General features: G+C 33.3%; 1 protein-coding gene across 22 annotated transcripts in view; it reads left to right on the top strand.

Annotated features, from left to right (window-relative positions):
• The window catches only part of TBCK (TBC1 domain containing kinase), a 275,085-nt gene that overhangs the window by 51,321 nt on the left and 198,353 nt on the right, over positions 1–25,411 (top strand). For 15 of the 22 annotated variants that reach the window (XR_001741353.3, XR_007057982.1, XR_938800.4 and 12 more), the window contains exons 4-12: positions 3,151–3,265; positions 4,853–4,926; positions 13,356–13,497; positions 14,885–14,945; positions 16,381–16,442; positions 17,057–17,118; positions 18,076–18,224; positions 20,599–20,737; positions 22,794–22,893. Coding sequence is in view for 17 of the 22 variants with exons in the window: in NM_001163436.4 (NP_001156908.2) it covers positions 3,151–3,265; positions 4,853–4,926; positions 13,356–13,497; positions 14,885–14,945; positions 16,381–16,442; positions 17,057–17,118; positions 18,076–18,224; positions 20,599–20,737; positions 22,794–22,893 (904 nt within the window). In the remaining 5 variants the exon portion in view is untranslated. Of the gene's footprint in view, positions 1–3,150; positions 3,266–4,852; positions 4,927–10,315; positions 10,417–13,355; positions 13,498–14,884; positions 14,946–16,380; positions 16,443–17,056; positions 17,119–18,075; positions 18,225–20,598; positions 20,738–22,793; positions 22,894–25,411 lie in introns of all 22 variants that reach the window. The other 7 variants (XR_007057984.1, NM_033115.5, XM_047416425.1 and 4 more) reach the window with 3 other exon arrangements.

The raw sequence follows: 25,411 nt of genomic DNA, 5'->3' as shown, positions 1-25,411 counted from the left end.
AATACTTCGGGGGGACACCCCATTTTACATGGTGTGATTATTACTCATTTTGTGCCTGTATCAAAACTCATGTACCTCATAGATATATATACCTGCTATATCCTCAAAAAAATTAAATTAAAAAAATAGTTCCAGTTATCATCTGTCTACTAAGAGTTCCAACTTAGAGAAAAAGAGAGAGAAAACAGTGAAAGATGTAGCAAATCAAATTTTCCTTGTGAATATTTCTGTGTTAATGGAACATGTGAGTCTTCAGATTGAAAGTACATGCTTAATGATGACTGGCACAAATATGCCCACATTAGACATATTGGGCTGAAATATTATAACTCTAGGGATAAAGTAAAAATAATCCTCAAAACTTCCCAGGGAAGAGTGACAGGATGTCTGCAACAAAGTTGGAAACAGACTGATACTAGCCTTCTCGCCATTAATAAAGAATGCTATAAGACAATGGAGTAATTCTTTCCAAGTTTAAAGGCAAGAATAAGATATTTTCAGATGCGCCGTGCATGAAAATATTCTACTCATGCTCTCTGTATGAAACAATTTCTCAAGATGTCTTATAGCTAAACAAAAAAGAAATTTAAAAATAGTATGAGATATAAAAATTATAGTAGCTGATGATAATCTTCATAAATAGAGTTATAAAATTATGGTATCCGTTAAATCTTGATGACTGAGACATTTTCTCTTGACAGCTAGGGTTTAAGTGGCCTAGGTTTCTATTTCTTTCTGTGCTTAGTTCTACAGTAAATATGTGTTAATCATTATTATCATATGGCAATGTGCCAATCACTTCCCATCTTTCTCAGAGTAAAAGCCCAAAGGTCTTAAAGTGGCCTAAAGGGCCTTACGTCTTCTGACTCATAGCTATCTCTCTGAGCTTATCTCCTGTCACTTTAATCTTTGCTCATTCTACTGCACGCACTGAATACACTTTTGTGAGCTGCTGACTTTATACCAGTTCAGGACTTGCTTGCTGTGGCCTCTGCCCGAATCATACATTTTCCAGAGACCTACCTGTCTTTTTTACTTCTTTTAGATTTCTACATAAGTGTCACCTCAGTGAGGACTTCCCTGACCACATTATCTGTCTTCCCTACTTCATTTTTTTTTCTTCATTTAATCACTACATGTCACATTATCTATTTACTTATTTGTTTCACCTTCCAGAAAGGAGTGTAGGTTTCCTTTATCCCACTTACTGTTTGATAATGTAAAAACAATATAATGAATACAGATAAGAAGTTTGGGAAGAAAATTGGGGAAGTTGTGAAAATATGACAACTGTATCCTCTTGCAGAATGAAGAGTTAGTTATATTAAGTAAAAGTCTACCACCAGAATTGAAAACTACCTGCTGATGATTATTTGATAATGTAAAATAAAATTTGTTAATGTAAAACAATGTAATAAAAAGGACTTGAGGAAGAAAAATAGGAAAGTTGTGAAAATACGTCAATTATATCCTCTTGCATAGTGAAGAGTTAGTAAGTAAGTAAAAATCTAACCACCAGAAGAATTGAAAACAAAACCTGCTGATTCCCTCTGGAAAGTCAAACTAGGATCATAGAGGCAAATTTTAGCTTTTATCTCTGGTTATTTCTTTTGGTTTTAATTTCGGAGAGAGAATCAGGTTGCAACAATTATTTTTGTAAAAATTTTATTCAATCTAGTATTTTTTAAAGTCAGGATTATTAAGGTATAATTTACATACCTTAACATTTACCCTGTTTTATGTAAAGTTTAATGAGTTTGATAAACAAAATTATGTAACCATCATCAAAATCAAGGATAGAACAGTTCCCTCATGCCACAAAACTTTCTCATACTCTTTTGTAGTCCACCTACCCCCCACCCAAGCCCATGGCAATCTGTTAGTCCATTTTTTAACTTTTAACCTATGTCTTTTATTTAGTGCGTTTCTCATAGACTGAGTATAGCTGAGTTTAAATTCTTATCAAATCTGACAATCCTTATGTTTTAATTGGTGAATTGAGACCATTTGTACTTAATCTATTAGTCATTTTCTATTTGTTCTGTTCTTTTTTCCTTTTATTCTGCCTGTTTGTGGATTGAATATTTTTTATTATTCCATATTATCTCTACTATTGGTTTTAAAAATTATGTTTAGTGGCTATCTGCAAACACTAATTTAATTTTAGAAAAATTTAAAAAAAATGGATAGAAAGGAAAATGTTAATATTGTAGGTATGGGGAAATTTCCTATGTGAACAATTTTTGATTAAAACATTAGAGGATAATTAATAAAGCTAGGTTAATTGTATGTGAGTATTACATTTGTCTTATGCTCTGAGATTTGAACTTTTCAAAAAGAAAAGGAATGTTGACAAGAAAATATTTTAATGCAGGCACCAATGTCTGCAAATGAACAATCCATACTTTATAAAGTGTAATAATAAAAATTAAAACATGTTCCAAATCCTACTTACTACTGCTAAGTAGCAGTATTTACCCAAATACAGTACCTGTTTCCTGATAATTTGCATGAGTAGACTTGCAAATTGGAAAAAAAATTAGGGAGATGGTTGGTGAGAGAGACAAGGAGGGAAAAGGAGAAGGAAACTGGAGGATATCTGTGTGAAGGATGGCTTGTAGAGGATAGGATAAGAATTAAAGAGAAAAGTTTGCTAAATCATAAATGACCAGAGATTGCTTTATAGGTTGAATATGGAAAATAAGCTAGTGTTTGTATACCATAAAATATATTGTTACTACTTTTTTCGGGGGCTTAGGTATTTTGTATTGAGCAAAATAGTTTTTAGTGACTTAGTTCTGCCATATACTTGAAACTTAACCTGATAATTTGGCGAAGCCAAACCTGCTATAGGTTAGTTGCACTCACCACCAAAATTAAAGCCCTTTCGTGGAAGAACCAAATACTGCTATTACAGTAGCCTTTAGGAAACTGTAGGATCTTTGTCAGATTAATTCTGTTATAATCAGAAAACCTAAAATATGTAGAGGTAGATATTTTAGAAAATATATAGATTCTATTTTCTCAGAATAAAAGAGGAGCAATAAAAATATAACTTTTTGAATATTTTCACTAGGTCACATTTCACTTGTTAAAACAAGTTATTTATTTGCTTTGTAATTGATCTTTGACTTTTTGTTTTCTTTGTAGCTGTTCAACGGTTTTGTGTATAGCATTTGAGGTTCTTCAGGGCTTGCAGTATATGAACAAACATGGTATAGTACACAGGGCATTGTCTCCTCATAATATCCTGTTGGACCGAAAGGTAATTGTTAAATCATGTAATAAATATTTATATATCATTTGAAATTGGAAGCAACTGGGATCAGGGCTACTCAGTCAGAGGAACAATAGAATCAGAATATGTTTTAAGAATATTCATAATGAAAAGTCTATATGAAAGTGATGTAACTGTGGTTTTTGAATTTAAGGATTAAATAATCCTTAAATTATTTAATCTGTATATCTTTCACATGGATTATTTTTCCCACAAGACCCATTTTCTAACTTTATGGTTTTTTTATTTTACTCTTATTTCTAAAGCCTTGTGGCGTCCCAGTATACTCCTCCTCTTAATTTATTTTCATTTTTAAGAAAATGGCTCTTTTTGCTAGAATGTTATTCATATAAACCAACTGCATTGTGTTTTCTCTATTTTTCTTCTGCCTTCTTTCCTCTTCTATTTATCTCCTTATTTACCAACTGTTCATGCCTACCTCCTTTTACTATTGAAGTGCTGTTTCTCTACTGGAAATCTTATGGGGCATTAAGAAGAAGCTTGTAAACCCTTCAAAGAGAATTATGGATAGTAAGGTTATATATTTTCAGGAATAATTGTAATTTGATTCCTTTTCATAAAATACATAAAAACAACTTGGAGGAAATTTTTTCATGGGCATTATTTGCTGTGTTAGGATTATCCTTGTTCTCTGGTTCTTTTCCCAAATCAATACTTGGGAGGCTGAGATGAGAACATTGCTTGAGCCCAGGAGTTTGAGGCTGCAGTGAGCTATAATCACACCAATGCACTCCAGCCTGGATGACAGTGTGAGACCCTGTCTCTAAAAAACAAACACACAAACACAAAAATAGAAAATTGTACTCATTAGTTTCAGATTTATGGCAGTAAAGAATCATTACCTTATCAATTTAAGCTGTTTTTAAATATAAATATTTTATAATGCTTGGAAATAATGTTCTTGAGAAGACAAACCAATTTTAAGATCAACTTAATATTTTAAAGCCTTATAGATTAAAAGGGAAAAACTTAAAATATGTAAAATTATATTTATCATTTATTAAGAGCCTTATACTTATGATAGTTATTTTTGTTCTCAAACAATATAAAAAGTTATTGAAAATCTAGCAGATTCACCAAAATCTTGATGATTTTTGAACTGATCTTTTCAAGTTAAGTTTTCCTATTTCACAGTTAAATTATAACTATAAATGGACTTTCAACTCCATGGAAAAAAATTTGCTCTGTGAAAATTACCACAAAACATTCTAACCAAGGTTTCAAGACAGATGAGAATGTTTTTGCCTTTTTGTTTTGTGAAATAACTAGACAATGTAACAGCAAAAATATTAAAGAAAAATGTCATTTGTCATTTTGAGATATATATGTGTACATATGCATATATACATATTTAATGAGTATAAAGCAGACTATTGGCAGATAGTTTTTTATAAAATTATGATTTTTTAAAATCTACAGTGGCATTTTGATAAAATATTGTTATATAATGGTTTCTTTAGTTATAAAATGTATAATGATAATTTTATAATATAAATTATATGTTGCCAATTATAATAAATTATTTGATAGTGTTTTTTTTCTTTATTATCATAGGGACATATTAAATTGGCTAAATTTGGACTTTATCACATGACAGCTCATGGTGATGATGTTGATTTCCCAATAGGGTAAGGATATGTTTTCCTCTATTTTGAGTTTCTTTTTAACTTTGTAATCTTTGATAACATGTATATTTTGTTAATTATATTTGATATTCCTTTTTGATATGCAAACAGCTTTTTTAAAATTAATGCATCTCAATTTTCCATATACTTTTAAAATGAGTAGACAATGAGTTTTTCCCAGCATCCTCGTTGATGTTCATCATTCATTGAATTGGCAGAGAAGCTAACAGTATTGACATTCTTTACATTATAATATTTCCTAATTATCTGTATTTCATTCAGAATCAAATCAACTTAAGGCAAGAAGGATGACTAGATTCTCAACTAATGATAATGTGTGTGCATCAAGAGACTGAAAAACATCACTCTCACATTATTTTCAATTTAATGTTTTATGTTTAATTCCCTTTTCTCTAAGATATATATTAAGATTCAAGTTGAGTCATTGTGGATATTAGAGATAGAGATAAATTCCATACCTGAAAGTCTATGTTTAAGTTCAGAAAGGTTTATTTAATCACTTCTGTTATGGAATTGCAGATGTATGTTGCCCTCCACAAAAGAAATGGAAGGTTGTTTCATGCATATTCAAGTAGATGTTTTTGATACGGATTTCTGTGTTATATTTGTGTGGTTGCTTTTAGACATTTTCATTATTATTTTCTTTTCTGAAGATTAAGTTGAGATTGTTTTAGATAAAATAGTTACAAAAATAGTATAAAGAATTCCTCTCTACCCTTCATCAGTTTCTCCAAATGTTAACATTTCACTACATTTGCTTTTTCTCTGTTTTTTCTCCGAGCATATATGTGTGTATGTGTATAATGATTGTTTTTTATAATCACTTAAGAGTAATTAATTACATAATAGCACTTTAACCTGTAAGTACTTCAGTTTGTATTTTCTAAAAGAAGGACTTTGTTTTTTTACATGACCTCAGAACAGTTGTCAAAACAAGGAAACTAAACTTGATGCAGTATTATTATCTAACCTAGAGACATTAATCATATTTTTTCAATTGTAATGTGACTGTTTTTGATAGTATCCATTTGTGTTTTCCTCTTTGGGCTTCCTAAAATCAGTTCTATCACACCGTTACTGAGAATTGTGATATGGAGTCATGGAGTGTGTTTTTCAAACAGAATGTTACTCAAAAACTTAATTTGATTTTTTTTTTAAAGCCAGCCTCATATATAACTTGCCCTTTTTTCTTTATAACTCAAATTACAGGTTTCTTAACTAAATTTTTTAAGTTTATGACTGTGTCTTATTATTAAGACATAGATAATAATCTTAAACTTTATTCAGTGAGGAAACATTTATTGAGCAATTTCTCTTATGCCTGTTGGTTTTACAAAAATAAATAAGATAGCTTTCTGTCCTCAAGAAGCTCATTGTTTAGTGGGAGAATTTTCTGTTTTGATGGACTGCTTATTAAGGTACATAAATTCGTAGTCTTACAGTTTTGTGTATTGAAAACTTACAGGCAAAAACCAATTCTTGTTTCATAAGCATGAAAATGGTATTTTGCAAAGACAGTCTACAATTTCTTATTTGTTCAAAAAAGCCCTTTCGAATATGAAAGGGGTTTTTTATTCAACTTATAGTTGAATATAAGTTTTTAGTGAGGCTCTAGCTCCTTTGTCATGTATGATAAATGCCTTTCGAGGTGACTTTTAAGTAGCTGTAGTACAAGTGATTGCTGCTGCTTCTTTTGTCTAAATCAATTTGTGTAAGAAAGAAATCCAAAAACCTAAAAATTACTTTAAGTTTTTGATTTTTATTTAAAGGTACTTTAGGTTTCAGTGATGAATCGAAGAAAGGAGGTGATTTTTCTTAAAGCATATCAAGTAAGAGCTACACTTGAATTTAAAATGCTTGGATAGAATTGGTCTTGTGTTACCCTTTGGTCTGGCTTGCTTTGAAGTCTTAGACCCAAAGGGTCTTACCAGAAAATATCAAAGAGCAAAATGTGAAACATTAGCCAGGAAAAATAAAGTGATCAAACAGCTAAGGCATGAAAGAAAATATTTACACCAGAAGAAGCTTGCAGTTGATTCAAAAGACAAATATTAAGGAACAACAAAGTAAAATGTTACCATCTGTTTCAAAATACTGTAAAGAGTTGGAAATTGGGCATTCATTTCAGTTGGCCAGTAGCTTAATACCTTATTAAAACATCAAACAGATGATGAAAGCCACTTTATTTACCTCATCAGTCATACTCACAGCAAAGTTCTGGTAATTGTCTTTGAGTGTTAAAATGCTATGCTACAGAAGAGAAAGTTGTTGAAAAAAGATGAACTACATTAAATAACAATTCTAGAGCTTATTATTTTTTAATAATTTTCCTGTGATTAAAAGGGAAACTAAAATATTTGAAACAAAGTTTATCTCTGTCCTGTCAGAAGTTTTTGATATAACAATTTACCTGTAGTTTTGCTTGATTTTTCATTATTATTATTTTTGGGTTAGATGTGCTGGAAATCAGGAAAAAAGATGAAAACTGACTTCTGGATGTATTGTGGTGATGATAAAAGTATACCATTGCATTTGTATTAAATTTTTTATTTTTATTTAATGTCTATATATTCACTAATATTTATAACAGCTTTGTGACGTAGGCAGTAATATTCCAGTTTTACAGATGAAGAAACCCAAATCACATATAGAATATGTGGTAGAACTGAAATTAGAACACAGGTATTATAACATCTAGTCTAGTGCTGCTTCCACTAGACTTCAGCTGTTTCTAGAGATATCACACATTCATTTGGAAGAGCAGTATCATCTTAGGGTAAAATAACACAATACGAATTTGTATATGAGAGAAATACATGAGCAAATCATAAGAAGATACTGGTATCACCATCATCATTCTATTAAAATGAAAAAGGAGTTAAAAAACAAATTTACCCATTTGAATTTAAGTCACATTCCCTGACTTAATTGACTTGTATTTTGAATGTAAATAAGAAGTACTAGCAATGATAGTGTGAGGAGGTAGCTGTAGAAAAGGTAGGAAGAAAAATAGAAATAATATTTGAATGCCTACTTAATATATATTACATAGATGATACATATATTTAAATACATTTTGATTATACTTATCATTGTAAGAGGACATAATTTAATCTAACTGGTTTTAAAATCTAGATTGTGGTGCTCATGACTAAATCTGACAATAAATGACGAAAGGGCATGCACATATGTAATAAGTATGGCAAAATTTCACTCCATGTCTCTTCTAAAACGGTTCTTATTCCTTTTATTTCTAGGCACTGGGATTCAAATTTAGCAATTGCTCCTATGTCTAATTCTTATTTACTACCTGCTTCTTAAATTGTTGTTTGTAAGGCCATCCTAATGGGTATTTTTTATAGGAATTTTTTTTTTAAAGCAAAACTATACTGAGTATATCCTCTATTTAAGTCTCATTGGTAGTTGTAGAGGGTTTATAAAAAGATACGCAAGTGCCCTCAGGTATGTAGTTCTTTTTTTTCTAATTGAGATGGGAGGTTAAATTTTTGTATGTGAAATATATAGTATATAAAACAAACATGTATAGCATCATACCATGTATAGCTTTTATAAGATATAGAACAGGCAAAATAGGTACTTTATAGAATCAAATCAGGTATTGATGGCAGTGGCGGCCTGTCTGGGATGGCCACTACCATGATGCCGGCTGCAGTGTGGAGGAGGTGCTGCTGGGGCTGTCACTTCACGGAGCCTATGGGGGCCAGGAGCAGGCAGGAGCCCCACGTTCCCGGGCACAGTTGCAGCTGCCTAAGTTGGTGCTGCAGACCCAGGCCTCCCTGTGCTCTTGGGGGCCGGAAGCAGGCAGGAGCCCTGCTCTCCCAGGTGCAGCTGTAGGCTCGGAAATGTCTACTCCCACTGCCTGGCCTCTCCCGGCTCCCTGTACACACTCTGATCTTGGAGCGATGTTGGGGTCAAGCCCAGGTGCTGTTGGACCCCGGCTGGGTGTGTGCACACTCGAGGCAGCACTGACACTCCAGCCCCCTGCTGCCTTGACTCCCTGTGGACTTCGGACACCAACAAGCAAGGGAGGGAGTCTGAAGGGGGGCTGAGGGCAGCTCAGTGCTGGCGGGCAGGCGCTCCGTGGCACGAATAGCCTGGGCACCATGAAGAGTGACAGGAGTCAGACAGGTTCCTGGGTAGAAGGGGGCAGGTCCCTGGTGAAGCCCTGCCTTCAAGCCCAGGAGGGCCTGAAGCATGGGAGATGGGCTGCAGGTCCCGTGGACCTGAGTGGGAACTTGTGGTGCTTTTTCTGGGCCCACCCATGGCCGCCCATGGACCAATGGACGTGCACTTCTTCCCTCTGAGGACCATAAAAACCCTGGACTCAGCCAGACTTGAGCAGATGATGGATGGCCAGCTGTAGAGAGGAGCTACCCACCCCAGGGTCTTCTCTCTGCTGAGGGCTGAATGCTCATAGGGACACCCCACCTGAGGGGAAAAGCTATCCACCCTAGGGTCTCCTCTCAGCTGAGTGTTGGACACTCCTTGGGACACCCTGCCAGTGGAGAGGAACTACCCACTGTGGGTCTCTTTAGGTGTTCTATAGCTCAATAAATCTCTTCACCTTGCTCACCCTTCACTTGTCCATGTACCTTATTCTTCTTGGATGCAGGACAAGAATTTGGGACCTGCCAAATGTCAGAGCTAAAACAGCTATAACAAACAGGGCTGAAACAACCCCTTGCTTGCCACATTGCGGGTGGCAAGGAAAGAAGACAGAAGGAGAGAGGAGCTGCAGCCCTTTGGGGAGCCCAGACCTAGGAACTTTCTGAGCCAGGGCTGTGACACTCTCTTTGGGGCTCTGCAGTTCCTGGCATCTCCAAGTTTCCGGGCACAACCATGTTCCCTGGTGCCAGCCATGGAAGCTGCTTGCAACGCACCTGGTCCAACCACAGCCTTGCAGGAAGCCAGTGCCTATGCCAGCACCTGGACCTGCTTGCCATGCCACAGCCAGTGTGCCTGGCTGTGCACAGTGGCCAGACCCCACACTCACTCATACACCCCTTGCCACGCCATGCCTGGCTCTCCCTTGGCCGCGTGGCATCCAGGCCAGTAGCACGAGCTGAGCACAGCCTGCCAGTCCAAGTGGATGGAACGGGCCCAGTGGGTCCCAGCAAAACTCAGGCAAAGGCACCACTGGCCACAGAGGTTTCCACCTGACAAAGTGACACCACAAAATCCCGTGATATGTTCCTTTATGGAAAAAATATAAATCTTTTTGAGAGACATTATAGAAGACCTAAATAAATATGGAGATATCATGTTTATAGATTGTTAGGGTTAGTATTGTAAAGATGTTAGTTCTCTACAACCTGTCTTTATATCTTATCTATTTTCAATAAAAATTCAGTATGTGAAAGAGAAGATACTTGGCAAGATAGTTTTAAAATGTATGTAGAGAAGAACAAACACCTACAAAGAGCCTGCATTTTCCCAAAGAGAAACTAAAAGGTATGTATGTTTTGAGAGCTCTTAACAATTTTCAGTAATTATTTAATAAAATATATTTTATATAAAAATATTTTATTTAAAATAGTGTAATAGTATACTCTTAGGCAAATTGACCAAATGAACAGTTGAGGGAGCCAAGAAACAAACCTATGTATGTGTGGAGATTTGATTTAGTATACGGCTGGCACTACTTGGGGAGAAAGAGGTTTCAATAAAGGGAACAGGGCTCAATTGCTTATTTATGTAGGAAAATAAGTTGTACCTTGTCTGACATCATATGAAAAATGAATTCTAGATGAATCAAGAAACTTAAATATAAAAGGCTAAACTGAAATTTTGAGAAAATTAACAGATTATTTTGACAAAATCATTAAGTATAAGGAAAAAAGTTTAATTCAACTGAAAGATAAGAACTTCTCATTCATAAACAGATACCGTAAAGAGAAAGAAAAGACAAAACCACAGAGTGGTAGAAAATATTTCAAGTCATAATTACTGAAGAAGACATTAGTATCTGGAGTTAAAGAACAACTGTGCAGTAAAAGATTATCATAGGAAGCCTAAGACTGCTATCCTTAGAAACTAAGTCCTGCTAGCAATGTTTGCCCTTGGCTGTTGCCTTGAAACTTGGGTTGCAGAAATGTCCCCATGGATGCCTAACTGCTGAGGCTAGTTTACTGTGCTTGTAAACAACCAAAGTGGTTTATGCTGAACACTTGCTTTCCTTCTTGAGTTCTTGAATTTTTGTACATGCCAGGCAGAGAGTGCCTGTGTGACAAGTCCCAAATAAAATCCTTGGATTTTCAATGAGCTTCTCTGGCCAGAAACATCACATAACATTTGTTCTTCAAGATTGGAAAGAAGTTAAAAAAAAAAGAAAGAAAAGAAAATGAAAGATACATCACATACGTGGTGCTATATTTTTGTTGCTGGAAGAAGAATGTATTCTGTGTGATCCCTGATAGGAGGGAGAGAGCATAAGGAAGCCTGTATATAGGTTCCTGGAGACTCCCTCTCTATCTTTGTCCCTTGTGATCCAGCTATGCCCTTACTATGTCACTGTAATAAATCTTAGCTGTGAGTACACTTATTTGCTAAGTCTTGTAAGTCCTTCTAGTGAATTTCTAAACATGAGAGTGGTCTTGGGGACCCCAAAACAACTAGAGAAATAAGCGAAAGTCTTGAATGGGCATATCACACAATAATAAACCCAAATGACTAATAAACATATGAACATATGCCTCAATGTCATTAATTTTCAAGGAAATGCAAAGTAAAACCACAATAGATTTTATATACCAGATTGTTAAACATTAAAAAGTCTGTCAAATATCAAGTGTTGGTGAAGAAGTAAAACAATAGGAACAGTCATTCACTGCTGGCAAGTGTATAGATTGGTATAACTCGTTTTGAAAAACATTTGGCATTGTGTAATGAAGTAGAAAGTGCACATATCCTATGGCTTAGAAATTTGGGTCTAGGTTGTTAACCTTGGGAACCTTTTGCAGATGTATACCATACATGGCATTCTGTGCAACGTTGTTCATAATGTTAATAATAAAAAGCAGGAAACAGCCTAAATGCCATTGCCATTTGAATGTATAAATAATGTTATGTTCATATAATAGAAATAAGAATTTAATGGATATAGCTTCATCCAACAATATAGATAATCTTGATTGAAAGAGCAAAAGAATACAGTCATCCTAATTCCAGTGTTATAAAGTTCAGAAATATGCTTGACTAAACAGTACATTTTTTAGGGATACAAACATGGTAAAACCATCAGGAAATGGAAGAGAATGACAAACACAAAAATTCCAGGTGTCTTCTCTGGAGGAACAGGGGTGGAGATACAATCAGGGAGAAGCACAAAGGGACTTTTGGTGATAATTTTATGTTCTTCACTTAAACTGCTTCTTGGTACATGGGTGTTCATTGAAGCTTTCTTCTTTATGCCTTATTCATATTTAATAGGCAGTGTTTTGCATTTATTCAATATTTGCTAAACCGGTTTTCAAAAAACGTTTTATGTCAGTGAAGTTGTGAGGAAATAGGCACCCTCATGTATTACTTATGACAATATAAATTGATACAACCTCCCCAAAGGGCAACTTGGTGTGGTAAATCAAAATTTAAAATGCACATACCTTACGATCTTGGAATGCCACTTCTAAGAATATATCTGTCATTTATATGCATATACTTGTGGGATATGTAATAGTCATAATATATTCATCTCATTATTGGTAATAGCAAAAGAATGGAAGTTCCAAAATGTTTTTGTTTCATCAAATTAAGTACATCAATGAAATTATTGGGAGTTTTCAAAAAGAATGAGGAAACTCTATACTTGTGTTTTTAAAGAACAATCTCTAAAATACACTTTAAGTGGAAAAAAGGTATATAGCAATATGTATAGTATTCCACCATGTGGGGCAGAGGTGATGGGTGGACAAAGTTATATATACATAAATATGTATGGATGACAGGGGTGTAGAGATAGGAGTTTTACTTTTCAATTTGTATCTTTTTTATAGCATTAACATTCTTACTACTAAAAATAAATACTTTTTTAAAAGATAAAATGCACTTTAAATATTAATTCAGCGTTAAGGGAAGATAGGCAATAAGAAGGAAGGAAAAACACTTGGAAGCCTAGAGGACTGTGTTAAAAACACAGAGAGAAGCAAATAAAGGAGCTAATGCTGGAGGGAGACATGAAGGTTTTAAAACTATTTCAGACTTGTGTATATTTTCTCTTGATTCCTTGACATTAAAGTTCTGTATTATGATGGTTAGTTTAGAATGCTTTCTAGCAACAGTTGTTAATTTAATTGCATGAGACTTTTACATAGATCTTACCACATTGATTGTAAAAATGTACTATCGCTTCTTTCCCTGTTGTAATTTTTCATTATTTTAATGTATCATTACAGGTATCCCTCGTACTTGGCCCCTGAGGTAATTGCACAGGGAATTTTCAAAACCACTGATCACATGCCAAGTAAAAAACCATTGCCTTCTGGCCCCAAATCAGATGTATGGTCTCTTGGAATCATTTTATTTGAGCTTTGTGTGGTATGTATAAAGAAATATTAATATAATAAAAGGAAATTGTGCATTTATTGGAATAATCTTTTGGAGAGGAAAGTTAATAATAGTATGTTTTTGCTGTACAAATTAATTACATATGAGGAGAAAAGGCTTAATTTGACTTAATCATGTTTGATAATTTCACATATTTTTTGGCATCTCTGGAAACATACTTTTACTAAGTGTGAATGTAAATGTTACCAGATATATATTATTTTGATATCTCTATAATGTGTATATTTTTACAAAGTTAAGATGTTTATATTAAGTTATATAAGATATATGGAGTACCATTAAAAGTTTAACAAGATATTGAAATGAAAACTACGTTTTTAGAAGATTGATATGACAGTAATGTAAGATTGAGAAGAATAGCAGCTTTTTTTCAATGAACTCTACCTGTAGTTCTGATTTGGTAAGTGTTTAAGAACATTTTTTCTTCTCTATTAAAAAAAAATCAAAGCATCTCTTTTTTCTATAAACACCAGGTAATCTTAAGCCTTTTCCTTCTAAGTTTATTTAAATGATCATATAAGCTTAATTTGTTTATGATAAGAGAAATATAATGATAGCCAACATTAATGAAGCATATTCTGCATTACATAACCCTCACCATAACCTGTGGTATATGTACAGTTAATATTTTAATTTTACAGATGAGAAAAGTGAAACTTCAGGTGGTATTAAGTAGTTTGCCAAATTTATATAACTATTTGATGGTGGAAGAGTCCAATTTGGCACACAATCATTGCTCAACTCATAAATGCTGAAGGTATAAGTGTTTGACTCCAGACCTTATACTAAGGAGCCTCCTGAGGCAGACTAGTAAGGAAATAATTAAAATATAATGTGTGCATCTTAAAATATACCAGGTGCTGTAGGAGCATGAAGGATGGCTGTCTGAAGTTATTGTGGTAAGAGGAAGGAGTGTTATGAAGTTTTTTTAATGGAGAAACAGACTAACCGAATCATGATATTTAAGTAAGAATTAGCTCGGTAGGCGAAAGAGTATAATCAGTCTTACCCAGGAGGCATCTTGGTCTCAATAAAGTAAGACTCCATATGGCCTGGAATACATCTAGATATCCAGGTATGTGTGGATCTCAAAAGTGAACAATGCTTACATCAAACTAGAATGTAATGACCCTTAGATGTATAAAATGTTTAAATGATAACTATTATGCAACACTTTCTAAAATGTTATTTCACCAGTAATTTTTCTTTAGTGGAGCTGACTTTAAAAATCCATTAAAACTTTTGGAGATAAATAAAGATGCCTGATAAAATCAGTTTCAGCTATAAGGGGAGAAAAATGCCTTCCTAGAAAAAACATGTAAATATTAATAGAAATTTCTTTTCTCATTTTATTTAGGGAAGAAAATTATTTCAGAGCTTGGATATTTCTGAAAGACTAAAATTTTTGCTTACTTTGGGTAAGTGTCGTACAATTGCTTATCTTTCAAATATAAATATAACTTACTATTAGTAATCATGCACATTGAGGATGTGTTCTTTTGAAATAGTGAGTACACTGAAATATCCTCCCTTTACTCAAGTTGCTAATGATCAGTGGTAATGATCAGCAGAACAGCATATGAGGTCCCTTCTAAAATATTACAGCAGAAATTTCTTTATTCTCTGAGGAATTTTAACCTAGATGGAAATAATCTCAGCTTTATTATCTAGCCAAGTAAATTAACTTGTGAAATCAAAATGAGAATATAAAATTGTATTTCTGTAGCAGTTTACCTTCAGACAATGTATCTTAACTTTTGGGCTATCTTTCTATTTGATGAATCATGTACAAATAACAACTCAAGAAGAATATTGATTTTTCCTTATAAAAGGCTCATATGAATTTTCATGTATGTGGATCCAAACATGTATAATTCAAATTAATAAAAATTTATGTAATCTACTTTGGAGTGGAATTAATTAAGCATGTTTGGTAATTAAGGAGAGAAAAACAGTGATAGAACACTTTATGCAAAAGAGTGACAGATTAGTATCCAAGTTAAAAACATTTACAAATAAGAATATGTACAGGAAAGTATTAGTAAACATTAAATAATAATGAATTATAAATAAATTTGCAAAAGTTTTACCAGATTTACCACATTTAATTACAAAGATTGATACTACAGCTATTAAGAAGCCTTGGAGATTCTTAAATGTGGTCTGTAACCTAAACTTTTTACTTTAAATTCCCAAATAAATGTAAGTACATTTTCCAAATTATGTACAATAAAAATAAGTTAGTCTTGTAATCATGAAAAAACAAAACAAAACTACAAAGCCTTCTTAAAAAGCGCTGTTTACATACAGTCAGTTCTTGAAGAGGATTGGTTCTAGCACCCTCACATGTACCAAAATCCATGTGTACTCAAGTTCCACAGTCAGCCCCACAGAACCCATGTGTATGAAAAGTCGGTCCTACATACATGCAGATTTCGCATCCACAAATACTGTATTTTCAACCCATGTTTGGTTGGAAACAATCCACATATAAGTGGACCTGTGTAGTTTAAACCCATGTTGTTCAAGGGTCAGCTATGTGTGTCTGCATGTGTATATTTAGAGAGAGACAGAGAGAGCTAGAGTATCTTTACCTTCCTTGTAAAGGAATTGCTCCTTTATCAAACTATTTAAGCTGGTATCTTTCAGTGTCAGTTATTCAATTAGTATTTATCTGAAGCTTTTCATTTTTATCAAAACATGTAAAGAAATTTAACAAAATGATAAAGTTTTCAGTATTTTAAGTTTCAAAATTGCATTACTCCATTAAAACATTTTTGATCAGTTTATTTTCTGGTTTGTTGGACAGATTAGAAAAATAGCATTTATTCATATAGTTTTTCTGTTTTATAGATTGTGTAGATGACACTTTAATAGTTCTGGCTGAAGAGCATGGTTGTTTGGACATTATAAAGGTTTGTCATTAATCTGGGTCTTAGTCCATTTGTGCTGCTATAACAAAATACCTGATATTGGGTAACTTATAAAGACAAAAATTTATTTTTCCACAGTTATTGAAACTAGGAAGTCCAAGTTAAAGGCACCAGTACGTTTGGTCGTCTGGTGAGGGCTGCAGTCTTCTGAGAGAGAAACACTGTCCTTACAAGGCAGAAGGGCAAGCTAGGCAATTGCTATGTGAGGTCTCACCTTTATAAGCCTCTTAATGCCATTCACCAGGGGAAGAGCCCTTATGACCTAATTACTTCTTAAAGGCCTCACCTCTTAATACCATCACATTGGCCATTAAGTTTCAAAGTTCATGAAGCCTAAACTTTGGAGGGAACACATTCAAACCATAGCAATCTGTGAATGAAAATTTATTTTACACACTTGGGATCCAGTTGGAAGCTATTTTAAAGCAATGCTTATTTCTCTTTAAGTATTTGCTTTTTCACAGTGACTAAATTTGTATAAAGTACAAATAAAAACTTTAAAAACATCAAAAACTTCTAGATTAGCAAACATTTGAATAAAGTATATTTCTAAAATTGATCATTTTAATTAATTATTTTCTCTCTTTATTTACCAGGAGCTTCCTGAAACTGTGATAGATCTTTTGAATAAGTGCCTTACCTTCCATCCTTCTAAGAGGTTGATATTATTTAGAGATTGGGATTACATTGAGATCCTTTACGCATAAGCAATTGGTTTTTTTCTTGTTTTAATATAATGGATTAAAGATAATGTACATATGGAGTAGTATATAATTGACATCAGTATCATAACTGTGAATGATGTAAGCTTTCATTTTTTGTGAATTAATGAAAAAGTAATTAAAGTTAAACTACGGTCAGAAAACTGACATACACTAAAGAAGTTACTAGTTCATTTTCAAGCTTTTAAATAGAATATTAACTAAACTATGGAATGTAGGTATTCCTAGACCCAATAATAACATCAGTGAAATGAGAATAAAAGTTTGTTGTCAATATGTATTATAGCAATGAACTTGGATCAGTGGTGTGATAAACTAACAATTGTTGACAATAAAAAAGGATTTCTTAGAAGTTTCATTAATTGACTTTGACTTGATGATGTCACTACTAGTCATACAGCTATCCCTAAATTCCTTTACTATGTAATGTTTGAAAATAATGTATACAAATTTGCCTTTAGAAAAACAACTTTATCAAGACATGTTAGAGAGAAATAGTTTTGTGTCAATGTACCACATTAAAGGACAGGAAGAAAAGCCAAATGGTATTATTATAATAGTTTGCATAAATATTATTTAATTATTTAAGATATTCAGTAAAGCAGGTGAATGCTAGTCAGGGTAAAAGTAAACAATGCAGAAGCTTTTATGGAATGATATTTTTGATACATCATGAGGTAAAGTACAACATAAGTAAAAAAAATTCAGTATTTACTCACAGTTATTTGATTATAATATAAAAGTATGCATCTAGACTCTGCAAAAGAGAGCTGTATTATTTTCTGTGCTAATGAGGTATTTAAGACTTTTATCCATTCTCTTGAATGTATGCCATTATTCTAGGAAATTTTTTATGACTTTCATTCATGCTCTGTATTTTAAATGTTCTCAAGGCCAACCCCAGATCAATTAATGAAGGACAAAGTATTCAGTGAGGTATCACCTTTATATACCCCCTTTACCAAACCTGCCAGTCTGTTTTCATCTTCTCTGAGATGTGCTGATTTAACTCTGCCTGAGGATATCAGTCAGTTGTGTAAAGGTAATGATAAATTAAAGCATAGAGAATAATATGAGCCTTGTTTTTAAAGAAGTTTCCTTGTCCTACTTTCAGTTTTGAACTTATCAACAATATATATTGGTGGGATCATGGGAATTAAGAGACAATTCTGGAAGTGATTAAAATATAACTGACTGGCTGGGTGCAGTGGCTCATGCCTGTAATCCCAGCACTTTGGGAGGTCAAAGAGGGAGGATCACTTGAGGCCAGCCATTTGAGACCAGCCTGGTCAACGTAGAGATATCCTGTCTCTACAAAAAACAACAACAACAACAAAAAACAAAGTACATGCACACACGCACAAATATATATATATAGTTAGTCAGAGCCTAACTTCCTTGGATAATATCAGAGCCTAACTGAACTGGTGAGGGGAAATAGCAAATTGCAGCCAGCTCTAGCCTTCTGTGTGGTGGTTAAAGTTAACAGAAGCATTCTGTAGTCAATCCTGTGATTAGTTCTGAATCTTTAAGTGAGCCTGTGCCTCTAGCCTTTAAACAAGTGCTTTCTTGCCCTTAAGGAGTGGCTAGAATACACATAAACACACACATTTGAGCTAACAGTTTATCCTTTCTATTTAAGTTACTGATATTCTATATAATTTATTTATAAATGATCTCTAAAAATAATATTATTGATAAGAATTATATATCATTATATTCTGCATATTGAAGAGAATATCAGCTTTTAGACTTTTAATTCTTGTGTGAAGATTACGACTCTTGGAATGTAAGGTTTAGTGACACCAGTTACCTTTATTCTGAAAAGTTGTTATGACTTAAGTCATAGCAGAAAATGGTTACTAAACATTCATTCAATTAAACATTTATTGAGTTCCTGGTATGTGTCACATACTGTATCTTTAAGTAACATTCATGCCAAATGGGAAGGCAGACAGACATTTAATTATACAATCACTGTTATAAATGAAGGTCAATATGAATATAGCACAATGGCAGCATAGCAGGAGCACCTAATTCTGTATTTCTGTCTGGGACATCAAGGAAGACTTCAGAAAAGGCAGCCAGCCGTTGCCTTGAGATATGAGGGAAGGAACAATTTGTGTTGGTTGCCTCCCCATGTGCTATTTTCTCCCCTTATTCCTTTTCCAATATAGAGTGTAAAATTTCCAATACTATGTATTCATTATAAAGGGTGAAAATTCCAGATGTTTTTTTCTAGTTTCCCTTGCTATGGGCAGTAAGCTTGTGAACTAGAGTTGGCTAATGGGATCTAAATGAAAGTGCTGGACATAAGGGCTACTTATAGGGAAAAAACAAATTTTCTTGTCAAGAAAGGTACTGCAGCATAGGTTCACCACTTTCTTCTCTTCTGAATGCAGAAAATGGTCTAGAATTTTGATAAGCATAGGCCCCTCCTGTACCTATGATTTTATTAACAGAGATGAATAAATGTCTTTATTATATAAGCCACTTTTAGTAGTATATTATTTTCAGTCGGGAGCATTCAAATTATTACAAAAATTGAATCAGAATCTGCCAGTCATGGCATACCTCCAGTAGGAGAGGGGAAATATCAAGCTCCAACTCGTTCTAGCCACCCCTTAAGGGCAAGGAAACACTTTGTCTAGAGTGACTGGCTCACTTAAAGATTGAGACCTAAATTGTAGGACTGACTACAGAATGCTTCTGTTCCCCATACCTTAACCACCACATAGAAGGCTAGAGCTGGCTGCATTTTGGTATTTCCCCTCTCCAGGTCAGTTAGGCTCTGATATTATCTAAGTGAGTTAGCCTCTGACTAACCGGTTTATCCTGAAGACAGACCTTGTTAAGAACAGTGCTCATTGTATTTCAGAATGGTTACATTTCCTCTGCCACTGCTGGAAACATAAGGGCATTTTCCTCCAATATTTACTGTGAGAACCTTGTCAGTCTCCAGACTCACAAAAGTGTGGGGCTATCCCTTTTGACTGGTTCCCTCTGGAGTTTTTAACTCTCAGACTTGTCCACACTGAGCCTCCAGTAATTTATCAATTACAGTTTAGGTTTTCCAAACTTGGCACTGGTTCCTGAGGCACTGCTCATGAATGTCTGTTCCAGAATGCCATAGCTCCCTTTATTCTCCTCTCTGTCTCCAGTCCTGGGGACAGAAGTTTGTCCTATGTCCTCACCTCTCTTACAGATCCAAGAATTGTTGATTTTTCAGTCTGTTCAACTTTTTATTTGTTGTTAGGATGGAGTAGCAAATTTCAGGCTCCCTACAATCAGAACTAGGAACTGGAAGTCTGTTCTTCAGAGTTTATTTTTTTTAGAATGGCAGCTATTACTGCCTGTTGACGTTTAATAAAAGTAGAAAATATAATACAATGATTCCTTAAATTTGCTTTTAATAGATATAAATAATGATTACCTGGCAGAAAGATCTATTGAAGAAGTGTATTACCTTTGGTGTTTGGCTGGAGGTGACTTGGAGAAAGAGCTTGTCAACAAGGAAATCATTCGATCCAAACCACCTATCTGCACACTCCCCAAGTAAGGAAAGAAACTTCTCTTGGGAATTTAAATAAATAAATACATGGTAATAATTCTATGGTAATAATAAAAAAGAAAATCGGTGTTTTTTTTTTTTAAATTGGTTGTTTTTAAAATTTTTTTGGTAGGCATCCCAGCTAAGTGATTATTGGAAGCAATTGGAATCAACACCTTGTTTGATTGGCCAAAGTTTCTAATTGCAGAGTTCCCATCAGTTGTCTTTGATCAGTAATTTGCTTTGTGACCTACTTGAAGTGAAGTTAATATTATGGAATATCTTGCAATAATTGATGTTAATGAAAAATACACAAGTCACAATAGAATATTTAAGACAGTTAACTAAAAACTAGCTTAATGTTCCTACTATGAAGAACTATGTTCTTTTTCCAAATATACTTGTAAATGTAAATGAACTCTGTGGTCTCACTGTGTGTCCTAGAGATCATTACTGTGCTAGTGTGTTGCAAAAAAATCTGCCTAACTGTATAAGAAGATATCATGCTAGAAATTAGACTGGAAGTTAAATACCTCTACAGCCTTGGGGCTAAGATTGTTATTAACATTGCTATTCATGTTTATTCATAAAAATATGAACCTAAATTTCTTGAGCTTCTACTAATACTTTAAATTTTTAATTTTAGGCTGGGCATGGTGGATCATGCCTGTGATCCCAGCACTTTGGGAGGCAAGGCAGGTGGATTGCTTGAACCTAGGAGTTTGAGATCAGCCTGGGCAACATGGCAAAACCCTGTCTCTACAAAGAAAAAAAATTAGCTGGGCGTGGTGTTGTGTGCCTGTAGTCCTAGCTACTCAGGCAGCTGCAGGTGGGAGAATCACCTGAGCCCAGGGAAGTTGAGGCTGCAGTGAGCCAAGATCATGCTACTGCACTTCAGCCTGAGTGAATGAGAGACCCTGTCTCAAAATAAAATAAAATTTTAATTTTTAGATTTCTAGACTTAGTTTTGATTATTGTAGGCAACTGTAGAAGTCATCTGCTCATCATTTTTTTCTTTACTTTTTAAACTTTTGTATTGTTTGGATTGACTAGTTTCTATTTTTTTCTCTCTTAATCTGATTTTTAAATGTTAACTTTGATTATACCATTCATACATTGAATTAAGTAGAAAGTTAGAGGTAAGATTACGGAAATTCCAAGAAGAAATGGTTTAAAGGATATGTAGATTCTTAAAAGTAATTTATTGAAATTGTAAACAAATTTTATTCATTTATTATTTAATATCCTTTCTTCTATGAGGTTACTATCCAATATGCTTTTTCTTTCATCTTCCCTTTATCTTTTTCTACACGTATAAAGTTTCTTGGGAACACATTGAGTTAATGTCAGGAGAGTACTGTTAGCATTGAAACTGCATGAACAAAGGGTTGTAAATGACACTTTTGTTTTTCTGAAATTCTCTATACTTACATTCATACCAACTCAAGAGATATTTGAAAATGAGACTTGTTTGAAGAAATCTCAATACATTGTTTTATATGCAATGTATATGTGGCACATATGTATATGTTTATGTATATGTGGCACATATATACCATGGAATACTATGCAGCCATAAAAAATGATGAGTTCATGTCCTTTGTAGGGACATGGATGAAATTGGAAATCATCATTCTCAGTAAACTATCGCAAGAACAAAAAACCAAACACCGCATATTCTCACTCATAGGTGAGAATTGAACAGTGAGAACACATGGACACAGGAAGGGTAACATCACACTCTGGGGACTGTTGTGGGGTGGGGGGAGGGGGAGGGATAGCTTTAGGAGATATACCTAATGCTAAATGACGAGTTAATGGGTGCAGCACACCAGCACGGCACATGTATACATATGTAACTAACCTGCACATTGTGCACATGTACCCTAAAACTTAAAGTATAATAATAATAATTAAAAAAACATTGTTTTATTAAACATCCAGTCTAAAGTTTAATTCTTTTTTGATGAAGGGATTGATGACTTAGAATAAACTTTACTTTCTAGAAGAAACAATAAACTGGATTTTGTGTACATATTATTTTTAAAAATTTCTTTTCAGTTTTCTCTTTGAGGATGGTGAAAGCTTTGGACAAGGTCGAGATAGAAGCTCGCTTTTAGATGATACCACTGTGACATTGTCGTTATGCCAGCTAAGAAATGTAAGAAAGATATTTTGACAGTTCTGCTTTAGGTTTTTTTCTTTAATTAAAACCTTACAGATACACAAGAAATCTTGTATGCCTCTTTGATTTCACAAAATATGGGAGAGCTTCTGTAAAATATGTGCCCCAGAGTAGAATTGCATCTGTACAACTTCAGCTTTATTACCTGATTGTTCACAAAAATGATTTTATCAGTTTATCTTTTCGCCATCATTGGGTAACTGTTCTCATTTCTTTATTTACCTGGTAACACTTTCTTTTATCACATTTTAAAAAATTGTTAATCTAATGGTATGGAAAGGTATTTTGCTGTAATACTAATTTTTAATTTCCTGATTATAGTGCAGTTGTAAGTCTTTTCACATATTCTAGCAGTTCACCTACCTCTTCTATGTATTACTAGTTCATATCTCTTGTCAGTTTTTCTGTTGAGTGATTTCTTATTGATTTGAGGACTTTTGAAACTATGTCCCTGATATCGTATCTTTGTGAGCTGTATGTCATGGAAATATATTCTAATCTGTGGCTTTTCCTTCAACTTTTTGATTCTTTTATTGAATAGAATTCTAAATTTTTATCAGTATTTTCTTTTATAGTCAAATATATTTTGATATATTTTTTCTTGTAACTTATTTAAAGTAATAGCAAGGTTATAAGTATGTTTTATAATGTTTTTATATATTTCCTTATAAAAGATTTAAATAATTGTTTCACATTTAGTTCTTTAATCCACCTAGAATTTATTTTAGATTAAGTTGTAAGGAAGGTATCCAATATCATATTTCATTGATTAAAAAAATACCCCTTGTCTCAGTACCATATATTGAATAGTTTTCTCTTCACTTTTTTGATCTATAATACCAACTTTTTCTATGTATATGGATATGTTTCTGGGCCTTGATATTCTGATTTGTTGGCCTGTTTTTCTAATTTTAGCAAATACCACATTGCCTTAATCTGTAGTTTTATGTGAACTGTTGATATCTAGCAAGGGAAGACCTTCAGTTTTTTTGTCCTCAAAATGGAGTAGGAACTCTTTAACATCTTCCTCTACTAGCTGATTTTTATAATCATCATAAAGAACTTCATAAAAAATTATAGGGTTTTGATTGACATTGCATTGAATTGATAAGTTAATTTGTAGAGAATTGATGTATTTAAAATGTAGGGTTTTATTTCTTGAACATGCTTAAATAAATATGTCATTTATTTGTCTTATTTTATATAACAATTTTATTTTTAATGTCTGTATATCAGTTATCAGATTTATTTCTAAGGTAATTTATTATTGCTCTTGTATATAGAATATATATATATATGTAAGTATGAGTATGATTTTTTCCAACATTTTATTATAAAAATTTTTAAACAGAAAAGTTGAAAAGCATTTACAGTGAACAACTTACCACCTACATCAAGCATTGATATGATCTATTAGCAAAATCAAGTCACACCTATTCATTGACCTATTATGTATAGCTGTTTTGTTCTGCATTGGCAGAATTGAGTAGTTGCGATAGAGACTGCATGGCCCACAAAGCTAAAAATATTTGTCATATGGCCCTGCATAGAAACAGTTTGCTAATCCCTGACCTAGATTCTATAATTAACATTTTACATGCTTTATCACATGTCTATCTTTCTAGCTATTCATCAATCCATCATATTTTTTGTTCTTGCATTTCAAAGTAAAATGAAGACATTACTACAATTCAGCTTACACATTAGAGTTTAAGATTTGTTTATAGTTCTTTTCTAGGCAAAATTTTCATATAGTAAAATGTATAGATCTTAAGTATACCAGTAGATGAGTTTAAAATATACATCAATAATATTTTTTCATGTAGTAAAATGTACCAAATCTTAAGTATACCAGTAGAGGATTTTAAAAAATAAATCAATAATATTTTTTAAAATACTATTTCAACTACTGTTTTGTGCATGATTAGTAACACAATTGATTTTTTTATGTGGATTTTGTGTCAGGCAACATTGCTGAACCTATTCTTTTTTAAATAATATGTCTATAGATTCCCTGTGGTTTTCTTTGTGAATTAAGGTAGGGTTTTTTCCTTCATTTCCAAATTCTTATCTACTCACTTCATCTTTTCTCATTATTTTTGCTGAGCGTCTATAACGCTATTGAATAGAAACAAATAGTGGGCACTCCTGTCTAATTTCTGGTTTTAAAAGTTTGCTTTTTATATTTCATAATTAAGTATGATATTTGTTGCATTGAGTTATAGAGGTCTTCTATTCTTAGTTATAAGTTTTGTTATGAATGGGTGTTGAATTTCACTGAGTGTTTTTACTGTATCTATTGGGATGGTCATATGCTTTTTTATGTATTATGTTAATGGATTTAATTATGTTGATGGGGTTTTTCAATGTTGAGCCATGTTTGTATTTCTGGGATAAACCCAAACAGATCATGATTTCATTTTTCCTTTTTTATACATTTGTGTTTTGATTTTCTAATATTTTGTTTAGAATTTTTGCATTTCTGTTTCTATTT

This window comes from Homo sapiens, chromosome 4 (assembly GCF_000001405.40).
Source record: "Homo sapiens chromosome 4, GRCh38.p14 Primary Assembly".
In the NCBI taxonomy this organism is placed as follows: Eukaryota; Metazoa; Chordata; class Mammalia; order Primates; family Hominidae; genus Homo; species Homo sapiens.
Note: the sequence above shows the minus strand (reverse complement) of the source record. Positions and strands in the feature narration are given on the sequence as shown.